The sequence below is a fragment of the Homo sapiens genome, chromosome 8 (genome assembly GCF_000001405.40).
Source record: "Homo sapiens chromosome 8, GRCh38.p14 Primary Assembly".
Classification (NCBI taxonomy): Eukaryota; Metazoa; Chordata; class Mammalia; order Primates; family Hominidae; genus Homo; species Homo sapiens.
Window position 1 is genome coordinate 128,310,263 of NC_000008.11, and position 12,131 is coordinate 128,322,393.

General features: G+C 41.9%; 4 annotated features.

Annotated features, from left to right (window-relative positions):
* Window positions 3,247-3,930: an enhancer, noted in NCBI's record as "OCT4-NANOG-H3K27ac hESC enhancer chr8:129325755-129326438 (GRCh37/hg19 assembly coordinates)". NCBI's record gives its function as "activates a minimal SCP1, AML or CMV promoter by ChIP-STARR-seq in primed H9 embryonic stem cells {active_cell/tissue: H9 hESC(primed)}" and the evidence as "EXISTENCE:reporter gene assay evidence [ECO:0000049][PMID:30033119]".
* Window positions 3,247-3,988: a biological region, named in NCBI's record as "OCT4-NANOG-H3K27ac hESC enhancer GRCh37_chr8:129325755-129326438".
* Window positions 3,829-3,988: an enhancer, noted in NCBI's record as "active region_27962". NCBI's record gives its function as "activates an Ori minimal core promoter by ATAC-STARR-seq in GM12878 lymphoblastoid cells {active_cell/tissue: GM12878}" and the evidence as "EXISTENCE:reporter gene assay evidence [ECO:0000049][PMID:35858748]".
* Window positions 4,615-5,297: an enhancer, noted in NCBI's record as "OCT4-NANOG-H3K27ac hESC enhancer chr8:129327123-129327805 (GRCh37/hg19 assembly coordinates)". NCBI's record gives its function as "activates a minimal SCP1, AML or CMV promoter by ChIP-STARR-seq in naive H9 embryonic stem cells {active_cell/tissue: H9 hESC(naive)}" and the evidence as "EXISTENCE:reporter gene assay evidence [ECO:0000049][PMID:30033119]".

The window sequence follows — 12,131 nt, forward strand, 5'->3', positions numbered from 1 at the left end:
ATTCATTTTGGAATATGAAATCAAAGTCACCATTGAGTTAGTGTGTACAGTCCGGAGTGTATTGAACTACTTCTGGGGAACTAAGTTTGATATCATGTTTATTTCTTCTTAGCAATGACCTCGATAGACTGTTATCCAGCGCAGAAGGAGTATTGGCATGAAGATTTCAAGATCTGAAGTAAATAAGTAAAAAAGACTATAAAAAAGTTAGCTGAAGGGGCTTTGGATTCAGTGTGCTTTAAGTCCTGGCTGCTTTACCACTTATAAGAGTTGTGCTCATGGCCAGTCACGGTGGCTTATGCCTGTAATCCCAGCACTTTGGGAGGCTGAGGTGGATGGATCACTTGAGGTCAGGAGTTTGAGACCAGCCTGCCCAAATGGTGAAACCCTGTCTCTACTAAAAATACAAAAAAATTAGCCAGGCATGGTGGCAGGCACCTGTAATTCCAGCTACTTGGGAGGCTGAGACAGGAGAATTGCTTGAACCAGGGAGGCGGAGGTTGCAGTGAGCTGAGATGGTGCCGCTGAACTGCACTGCACTCCAGCCTGGGTGACAGAGGAAGACTCCATCTCAAAAAAAATAAATAAATAAAAAATAAAAAAAATGATTTGTGCTCATGAGCAAATTATTTACCCTTTCTGAGTTTTATTTTCTTCATCTTTAAAATAAAGATAAAAATGATACCCACCTTCTCGAGTTGTTGTTGAGTAAATGAGAGAATGCATATAGAAGGCCTGTGTTGAGATGCTCAAAATGTTGACATTTCTTACCACCACCATCATCATCATCATCACTATTGCCTTTATCATTGTCATCATCATCACCATCACTATTGCCTTTATCATCATCACCATTACTACTATCTTCATCATCATCATCACTATTGCCTTTATCATCATCATTATCTTTATTATTATCATTATTACCTTCACCATCATCTATCTTAACTTCCCCACTTGTTCCTGTGGCTCAGTAGAGCTCACTTCAATTCTTCTATTTCATTCTAGCCTGTCATCTCCCATATCAAATAGTTTCTCATTTTTTTTTTCTTAAAACATTTTTTTCATGTCTTTAAAAAACTCATCTGGCCTAGCCACCTGAAGCTAACTATTGCAGGTAGGAGTAGATTGTGCCTTTTGATGCCCATGGAGAAATGGCCAGAAACTGCATTTGGCTTTTAAAATTCCAGCAGCTGGGAGATAACATATTGTCCCAAGGACAGTTGTAATACAACGCTTCTTTTTCTGGGACTTCCTTTGTTCCTCCCTTGCACTCATCCAAACTGGTACCTAGGATCCAAGAGAGTATATAATTCATGATGTAGGGAACTAGTCTTCTTGACCACTCTGTGCAAACTGCCATTTGCTTACTACCTTCCAACCTTCATCCTCTCATTTCCCATTAATTTGTTCACTTATTCATATTCAGCAGTTACTTTGCCCATGTTGTGTAGCAGGCTAGCTGTATAAAGGACAGGCATGGTGTCCTAATGAAATGTACAGTCTAGTGAGAGGTGTTAAATAGTAAGTAGGCAATTACAATTCAGTATGCTAAAGGCTACAGTGAAGGAAGCAGGTAGTGTTAGAAAGCACAGAAGAGAGGGTACCTGACCTCTCTTAGTTGGTCAGGGAAGGAATGTAGGAAGAGTTGATGTTGAAGCTGGGTCTGGTCAGTAAAAGAGGGAGGTTGCCAGTGGTCTAGCATGAGAAAGCAACATGAATCTAAGGGACAACTCCATCTCTTGGCTCTCCCAGAGCACCAGCAATCAATTCTGCCAAGACTGGCTACTTTCAGCTGTTGAGCCTTTTTCATACTTACTTCCTCTTTTCTTGAGAAGTTGATCATAGATCTCAAATATGAGGCAATATGAATGACAACCACTAGCTAACCTTGGAATTCTTCCTCCCTGGCCTTTTAGTCAAACATGTGTGTCTCATGGAGAGATTCCTAGAGGTTGTGATAAATCCAGCTAGGACTCTCTCTGACAATGCAATTCTGTATCCCTTCTTACCATAAATGGAAATAAGTCTCTCTCTGTTTCTCTCTTTCTCTGTGCCTCTACGGTGAACATGAACACTACACTTGAGACTACGAATCAAAGAGTCAAAATGAGATGTCTAAAATCATATAGCAAGTTGGTAGCAGGGCAAAAAATTTGAGACAGATTTCCTGTATGAGCAACATCTTTGCATGAATAATAAACTTTCAAGCCTCCAAAAATTTGCTCACGCTCTTCTCTCTACCTGGAATGCCTTTTATTTTATTTTTTTTTCCATTCTGCTAGGCTTATCTCAAAGCTTCCTTTAGAGGCTTCTTACAATTCCCCACTCTTCACCTCTGCTTCACTGCCCCAGTCCTGGAGAGAATTGACCACTTGCCACACTGTGCTCCGTAGCCTTGGCTGAGGTCTCTGTTTTAGAGTTCATCTTTTGCTGCTACACTTGTATATGTTAGTGTCTATAAGTTGTGTAAAGACTGGAATTATCTCTTAGTCATCTCTGTATCCTTAGGATGCAATAGGTCTTCAATGAACCTTGCTGAATGATTCAACGAACAAATTCCAGAGATGTCATATCTTATTTGAGTCAAGGTGCCTTTCAGTTTAAAGCCATCTGCAGGGTTTTGTTGAAACCCCAAAGAAGGTCACATCCCTTCCAAATAAACCTTTATCTTGACAATGTTCTTGGAGCTGGAGAGCTGTGTAGACCTGGCTATTGGCCAATATGAAGACGGGAGAAAACTCCTGTGATGGGTGGGCTCAAGATTGCCGTCATGTACATGCACTTGATAAACCAGTATTTTACAGAAGCAAATACAAACCATGGTTACTAGCTCAGATAAATACTGGGAATCCTTCCTCTGTCTTAAACAGGATTTCCTTGGTGAATTTTTTTTGTCTTCTTGGAAACATCACCATGCTCTCTGCTCCCTTCAACTGCAGTTTTCAAATCCAGGGGTCTGAGTCTGGGCCCAAGTGGCTGATTCCAAGTAGAGTGGTTTCAGAGTCTGAGAAGAGATCTTTCCTTAGCTAAGTGTAGCACACCATCTCTCTCTCTCTCTCTCTCTCTCTCTCTCTATCTCTGCCTGTACAGTGAACATGAACACTACACTTGACACTGTAAATCAGAGAGGCAAAATGAGAAGTCTAAAATCGTATAGCAAGTGCAGCAAAGTGTAGTAGAGGCTTTAGAGTCTGAAAGACCTGGGTTCAAAGTCTGGCTCCACTATGACCACTTTGGGAAAGTTACTTTGCTGCTCGAAGCCTCAGTTTCATATCTGCAAAATGGATGTTTTTCTGGAAGAGATTTGGAGAGGATTCAAGGTGACCACAAAAAGGGACAGTAAGCAGAACGAGATGCGTACTTGGTGCTTTGTAATCCCAGGTGAGCTCCCTCTCTTTCCAGGGACATGGGGAAGCCGAGATAGAAAAGAGATGTCAAGATAATCTTTTCTGAGAGTGCCAAAAGCTGCTAAACCAAGAAGCGTTTTGTATGAAAAGCCACTTCTTTTGCACCTATTTTTTGTTTCCTTTTTTGGATAGTGGCAAGGGTCAGTGTCTTCCTCTCTCATAGGCTGTCTCATTTCCCTCCCTGCTCTCAGCTCAGCTGCCTGAAACCACCAATTGTTCTTTTTCTGAATGGAGCTCCCCATGGGGCCCCTTTCCCACCACAGTGGTTGTTTGTGCCCCTCCCCCAATTCTTGCACCTCTGTCTCCCACCCCCGCTGTTGCTCTATTCAGTGACCATTTCCCAAATACCAGGAACTCAAGGTTTGTAACAAGAACAGCAACCTTTTTATTACTTTGGTCCTGGGCTGCGACCCTAAGCAGCACATCCTGTTAGAACAAAATAGGTACTGAAAGCAATAAATATAACACCACACCGAGCACCCCTCCCTGTCACATCCCCCACCCTGCCAAATTCCCCAAGAGGTGTCACAGGGGTGAGATTGAGAGAGGGTGTTCAGAACAGGCGCCTTCTCCTCTCCCCTCCACTTGTTCGCCTATTGAAGAGGATATCTCTCCTGTTTCTTTACATTGGTAACCCTATGTACATAAAACAAAATTGAAAAGGTGCAAAGTGGTGTCCAGTGAAGATCACCCGCCTCTCCTATCCTGCTTCCTTAAATTCGCCACTTGAGAGGCAAACTACTGTTACTGGTTTCTTATGCATCTCTGCAGTATTCTACACATATATGTATGGTTTTATTTTTTCACAGACAAGGTAGCATGATTTTGCAGCTGGCTTTTTGTACTGAGCACTGTATTTTACAACTCACCTCCCAGTCAGTAGATAAAGACTTCTCTCCTTCTAAACTGAGGAAGAGTCCTCATTTACATGCATGAATCAGAGTTGATTCAACAAGTCTTCTGCTGACGGGTGTTTACGTTGTTTGCAAAAATGCAGCTAATAACTTTGTGCATAAGTCATTTCCCCCGATTTAGTTCTAAATCTATTAAGAAAAATATGTAGGTTGGAGGTACTACGAGCTGGCTCAGGAACACAAACACCTGGAATTTCTGGAATGTTCCCCACCAGCTCTGATTGTCCTCCTGGGGAACTCTCACTCTCCTTTGAAGGTGGGCTCATAGGTCACTTCCTGCCTTAAGCTTTCCAGATCAGTCCCAGCCAGAGAAAGTTGCTTTATATCTTTTGGATTTCTAGGTGGTGGCTCCCAAATTGTGGCTGTGTAAAGACCCCCTGGGGGAGCTTACTAAAGCACAGATTGCTGGGCCCCACCCATCCTAGAGTTTATCATTCCAGAGGTCTGCAGTGGTATCTACAATGTGCATTTCTAACCAGTTTCTAGGTGATGCTTCTGCTACAGATCAAGACCACACTTGGAGAACCACTGATAAGCGATTTTTCTACCTCTGTGATCGCTGCTGAGTGCAGCTCTTACTGAAAACCACTTCCATCCTCTCGCCAGGCTGGATTAGCCCCTTCTGAAATACTTACCCGTCTTTCCTCAATAGGCTGAAAGCTCCATGATGGCAGAGACTGGTCAAGTGTTTATTCCATACTTTATCTTCAGGGCTTGATAGAGCCCGAAGAACATAATAGATGCTGAATAAATGTGTTAAATGAATGAATGCACTGAAATTACTGATTTATTGCATTTCTCCTAGCAAGGTTAAATGCCTTAAGTCCAGGGCCTCTAGGTCCTTAAATACCTCCCTTCTCTTAGCTGGCCTATTGCTCTGTAACTAGGGTCCCCAGTTTTACTCTGCCCGCCCTTCAGGCCTACTGTCCCTAAGGCGGACAGACAGACCGATATCTTAGTAATGTAAATTGTAAAGATTAGCAACTATCTCTATTTCCATCAATAGGGGGCTCCTTAAATAAATGATCATATGTCCATGTCAGTAGATAAAGAACTCCCTCTGTCTTTCTTGTGGCTGCACACCCTTTTCTTTTTCCATGCCACCTAGCTAGTTAAGTGCTATGGCATTGGAGGGGCAGTAGAATTTGGTATAACTAAAGTATGTGTTCCAAATCTCTACTTTGTAGATCACATTTCCACTAATGTTTGTTTTTTTAATCAATAGTTTTTTATTGACATCAATTGCCCCCAGATCTTCAGTAAAGTGTTTGAAGATATCATGGTGCTGGTTGGTGGCAAATTTCTTATGGAGACAGTAAAGGGACTCTAGGATCAGGTCAAGGAGGATTTGGTTGGCTATGCTTAAGAGCTAGGACTTTATTCTACAGGCACTAGTAGATGGGGAGTATGACGTAGGGGGGCTATGGTTGATATGCATTTTAAAGAATTCCTTTGGCTGCATCATGCAGCTTTCATTCAAGGAGACTGAGGCTGGAGGTAAGGAGAGCAGGAGGAGACTCTTCCAATGGCTACGTGAGCAGTGATGAGAATCTCAGCTCAAGAGCAGTGGGAATGGAGTTGGAGAAAAGTCTAGAGTCAAAACTGAGAGGATCTGGCCTTTGACTACAGTCACAGTGTATGGGGTGTGGTGTGTATGTATATACAGTGTATGAGTGTGTGTATGCTATGAAAGTGACACTGGTGAGAATCAGTGAGGATTAACTAGATAGTTGATGTTATCACATATTGAGTCTTACTGTACAGAGGGGACAGGTTTTTAGAGAAGCAGGAAGATGAATTCAGTGTTGACCAAGTGAAGTTAGAAATCATTAAGGGAGAGATCTTGCAGGGGGTTGGATATTCCAGTCTGAGGTTCAGAAAAGCAGTCAGAGTGGCATAGATATATATTTGAGCTTTTGGTATATTGAAATGGAATTTTCCTAAAATATAATGGACTGACAGAAATCAGAGAATTTGGAGATCACCAATATTTGAGGGTTCACAGAGGATGTAAATTCTAGGAGGAGATGGAGAAGGAACAGTGACCAAGGAAGGAAGGGTACTAGAGTGAAAGCAAGAGAGGAGTTCAAAGCCAGACAATGAGGGTGCTGATGACCGCTGGGGAGAAATCATAGGGCTGTGGAGCAGGAACCAACATACAGCATGGAGAGGAAGGTGATGACAGCAAGAGAATGGAGGCTCAACCCTACCAGCAAATTCAGATGCAGAAGGACAGAGAGCAATTAGGCTCTACCTAGATATTTCCAAACTGGTTTAACAGAACATTTCTTGATTTTTGTTTGCTTTGAAACCTGAAGGCATTACATAAGTACTTTTATAGCACTATCACTTTACCACTGAAAAATCTTGAAAACATTTAAAAATGCAACAAACCTAAAGTTTAGAATAAACGAAGAAAAACACTCCAAGGTTACTCTTTGATTTTTATGGCATTTTCGTCCACATCGTATGACAACAGGGACACAGGAAAAATGGTCATTTGAAGCACTGTTTTAAACATCTGCTCAAGTTGCCTGGCAGTCAGCTTAATTAAATATTGGTGCCGATGGGAACTGTGTGGATTGATTGCCTCCCCCGCCTCTCCCTGCAACTGGGTGTCCTGGGGCAAGTCACTTTACTCTCAAGGAAGGTGGCGTGGTTTCTCATCAGTACAATGAGATCCTTGGAGGGGAACATCTCAAACTGACCTATTGTGTCTTCATAGCTGAGGTGGAATCCAGTTTGTTCAGCGTCAGCTGGGCACAGCACAAGAAGGAAACAGTGAGAACTTGGAAAAACCTTCCCCTCCCCTTCATACCTTTGTACTTAATGCAGCAACCTGCTGTTTTGTGCCATGTACCAAATGTCAGTGTATCACAAGTTGCATGGCTGATTAGATTTTTAAAAGTTTGCTGGCATTTTGCTTTTCCAACTGATTTGTCCAAGGTCAAAATGAAATTGCTTTCAGAACAGTCTCTAGTTAAAGCAATAGAAGTCGAAAATATATGAATTTACAGTTGGATTTTGTTATTAATTGTAAGCCACCATAGAGCAGTAGTTCTAAATCTTGAGTTGTTGCATCAGAATCACCAAGAGGATTTGCTAAAACTCACAGTGCTGGGCCCCAACACCAAAGTTTCTGATTTAGTAGGTCAGGGGTGGAGCCTGAAAATCTGCATTTCTCACAAATTTCCAAGTGATGCTGGTACTGCTGGTCCAGCAGCTACCCTGCGAGAAACACTGGTGTGGAGGAAACAACCCTGGCCTTCAGATCACAGGTGACCTATTGTCTCTGAGACTCAGTTTTTTTATCTAGTAAATGGGGACATAAATACACAACAAACCAATACTTAAATTAAAAAAAAAAAAGAAGAAGAAACGAGAAAAAAAAGGAGGAAAAAAGAAAAACAAGGTTATTCTTTTTTGTATGGCATTCTCTTTCAAGCTGTGCACAGTGGGGCAGGGAGAATGATCTTTTGAGCAGTATTTCAATCATCTGTTAAGTGATCTGGCAGTCACAATTCTTTAAGTTTCCATAGTGGGAGAACTATGGATTTTTTCCCTCCAGCCTTGATCTACAGCTGGGTGACCTTGGGCAAGTCACTTCATCTCCTGGAAGGTGGCCTCTTCTGCTTGCTTTTTATTGGCCAGAAATGGATCATGTGGCCATGCCTAGAACCAATCACCTCATTTATGGTTTCTGTCTCCTTCCTTAAGACCCCAAGGATGTTGAGGACTTAGGACTGCTTTTCTCCGTTTTGTGGGTGGGCCTGTTCTAGTGGAGATGGGAAATAACTAGGTTCAAATTGTGGCAATGCTTGTGAACCTGAGCAAGTGACTGGAACTCACTGAGATCCCACGTCTCATCTCTAACATGAAAATACAAATAAAATGTTATTTCCCCGGATGGCTGTGGAAATTAAATAAAGTCAGGGACATAGATGCTTAATATTTTTCTTGGACATATAGTAAAACATCAATAAATCATAGTTATTATGTGCTTATAAATGTATGAAACAATGAGATAGTTACTCAATAAGTCCTGGGACCCATCTTAACTGAATTATGCCCAAGCAGAAAGTTAAGGTGTTAAAGGAACAACCCAAAGAACCAAGAAAATGAAGAAAAACAAAACAGCTCACCTTTCCCCAAGAAAACCTCTGAATTTTCCACTGTTAGCAGCAATGGACAGGTACCACGCTGCCTGGGAAGAAGGGGAGAAGCAGCTGGCACATCACAGAGAAGCACCAGCCCCAGAGGCCTCCTCTGTCTGCAGAGGCAGTTTTTACGGCAGGCCCTTTGCCAGATCGTAGAAGGGAAAGAAAACTCAGAGAAGCTGGGAAGGGAGAGGGAACCAGGAGAGAGCAAAGGAGACTTTGCAATTATCTCCCTGAGACTGTTTAGAATGCAGTGTTCCTCTCCACCCCCTTTCCTTTTCACGTTGTAATTTTCTTCACAGAAAGAACACAATGGAGAACATATTCCAGACTGCCAAACTTGCTGCTACCTCCAACAACCCAGACATAGGAGATAAGGAAAAAAACAGAGGCAGATTTTCCCCCCTGCAGAGATTTCGGAGATCGAAGCTCAGAAATCCAGTTACATTTGAATGTCGCATTACCTGCCCACTTAGTGGCTTTGGTGTAGTCTGTTCATGATGCTTGGCAAGTTTAGACAACTGCTTTCCTTGCCTAGGGGGCTGGGGAGGGGCTGCCTCTATCGTGGGATTTGCCCCCAACCCCTATCCACTTGAGAGGCTGGGGAGTCAGCCTGAGTTGCATGGTTTGTTCCACCTGTTTAATTGTCCACATTTTCTTCTCACTTGTCTCTAGGAAGTAGGAAGAGACTCTGGACTCATGGCTCACTCTCAGAGAGTTAAGTGGTCCTTGGAAGAGCATAGGACAGAGATGTAAGAGGACTTCAGGATGCACAGTGCCCTTTGAGGTCCCTGCCTTGCCTTCTCCATCTCTTTTCCCACTCGCCTCCCCTTGGCATTCTCTCACCTGCCACTCTGTGCCCAGCTCATTTCCCAACCTCAAGCCCAAATGAGCATCCAGGTTGTGTTTTAGCACAGATTACTAAGTTGCCTCCCAGAGAGGTTGAATATTTCCTTCAGCAGAATATATATGTAGAATCAGAACATCCATTTTATTTATCTCTTCTTTGTACTCATATGGACCTATCTAATGGAGTGGCTTTCCTAGGATGTATCTTGGTGCTGTTAAGAAACTAAGTGCTGTCTTGCTAACCCTTTGTTTTCCAGAAGACCCTGTCATCTCTGAGAGGCCATGTGGAGCAAAACACAGTCATCTTAACTGAGGCCATCCCAGACCAGCCAGCCCCCTGCTGGCTCGCTAGCTGATCAGTAATTTATCATAAGTGAGGAGTGTGTCAAGATCAGCTGAGCCCAGCCCATGTCAGAATGGCCCACCCAACCCACTGACGCAAGAGAAACAAGACACGTTTGTTGTTTCAAGCCATTGCCATTTATGGATCATATAGTATGTGTTAGAAATTGCTAAAAGCAGAGACATATCAGCAAAGAAAATATTACCTCTGCTCTTGAATGCATCACGAGCATACAAGATGAGATTAATATGGGAAAGTACTACAATGTCTAGTTTACAGATGAGAAAAAGTAAAGTATAAAAAATGCTGTGGTATGCTTAAATAGATACTGTGACACTGTGTTCGTGCTAATAGGAGAATCTCAGAACCTGGCTATCCTTAAATATTTACTCAGAGGAAAATTGTTCATCAATGAGAAAATGGAAAGAACATTTTCTTTTCTATCCTCACTTTCTTTTCCATTTTTTTTTAATTTATCACTTATTTGGCAATGTGGAGGCTATACAAAATTTCTTAGCTTGTAGTTTATTTGGAGGGATAAAAAAATAAGTGCCTAGGATTTGAATAACAATGCAAGAGTGTGAGGGCACTGCTCATCAGCCAAAATGCAGCAGTTGCTTTAAACACATCCCTCATTAGATAATAATCATATCCACTAGACACAAGCTCCTTAAGCCCGGAACTTATGTTTAACTCAAGGTTGCATCCAAGCACTAGCAGGGGACCTGTCAGATATCAGGAACTCAGTGAATAACTAATTGAGTGAATAAAGAAATGAGTAGTCTAGACAATTAGGTAAGTATTTTGATTTTGCTTTGGCTTTAAGAAGATCATTTCTAAAGAACATTCCTTTACCTTTTCTTTTAACTTTATTTAACAAGGAGATTCAAAGCATTTTATGTCTATAAAAAAGGGGAGAACTGACATTTGTCAAACACTTGTCATGTTCCCGCTGCCACGCTAGGCCTTTTATGTTCTTAATGACATTAAACCCTCATAAATGACCATAGGAGGTAGATTTTATTACTGATGTTGACAGATGTAAATGCAGCGGCTCAGAGAGGTTTAGTAACCTGACAAAATTCCACAGTGAAATGTGGAATAGATAGCATTTCTATCTTAAAACCTACTCTCCCTGCCCCACCCCATGGTGACATTGTACCTTGAATATCTTCTAGATCAATTCCTCATCCAATGACTTGTAAATCTTTTCAATTTGGTAATGATTTGCAAGAACATTCAATGAAGAGAAAGAAAGAGGAAAGCCACAGTTTAAAAGAGGACTCATACAGTTTTCAGCCAGAGAAGAGTCAGATTTACAGAGTTTATGGAATCCTAGTCGGGTAGATTAGCAAGTGGGGGGATATAATGACAGGGTCCACACACATTCCTAGATTGAAGAGTTTATGCATGTCTTCCTGCTTCCACCAGCTGTACTTGCCTCTGATTTAATTATATGCTGAGTGTACAGATGCCACTAGAATTGCAGGCCATATCTTGCTTCCCAGGAAGGGTTATTGGTTAGATGACATTCAGCCCATGGAATGCAGTGAGGGTGTGCAGGGGTGAGGGGGACAGGCAAAGGATGTTGGTTTGTTCCTTAGCAAAGGAGATAGATTTGAATTTTTGTGAGCCAAGATTCATTAATTAATTTACTTGAACATATTTACTGATTACCGTAGTGGTCACTGATTGTCTTTGTTCGCCTTACCAGAAAGATGGCCATTCAAAATACACTATTCTCCTGGACACCAAAATTAGTCCAAGATTTAGCATATAACCTAACCTGGGTGAGTGTACAATATAAAGAATTAACATGCACATTCAAGGAAAGAGTGTCTCTCAGATCTTAAGCTGAAAAAATCTTGAAAACTAGAGTTCCCAAGGGCTATTTTACCCCTCATGCTAAGACAGTGTGAGAAGAACGCCAGCTCAGAGCAATGCAAAGCTGAGACATGAAAAGAGAGAAATATTTGAGCACCTAGATCCTGCCATGCCTGAGTCCCTGGACTTTTATAGCTACCTCAAGCAGATATCCTCACTGCACTCAGCACTCAAGTTGGGAGCTGGAAATATGAGGAATGGGAATTTCCTTTCCTTTACCTGAATATAGATATTGTCTTCAACTTAAAATGGTTATCATAGAACAAGCAGAGGAACTGGAGTCAGAACTATGGAACTGAATTCTAGTCCTATTATTTATTTCTTTAAAATCTAATGATGGGATCTACTCATCTGGTCCCAAGGAGTTGGGAAGACAAGGATCTCTCTTCTCATCCCACAGTGAGCTCTCAGCCTAGTGGAGCACATGAACTTGCTAACTGGCTGAATAAAATTTTGGAAAATTAGTTGGCTTCTTGGAACCTCAGTCTTCTTATCTGTAAATGGGGAAATGTGAGAATCAAATGAGCTGTTGGACATGACAACACTCGGTAACAGTGAAGGGCCTGCTCTGCAA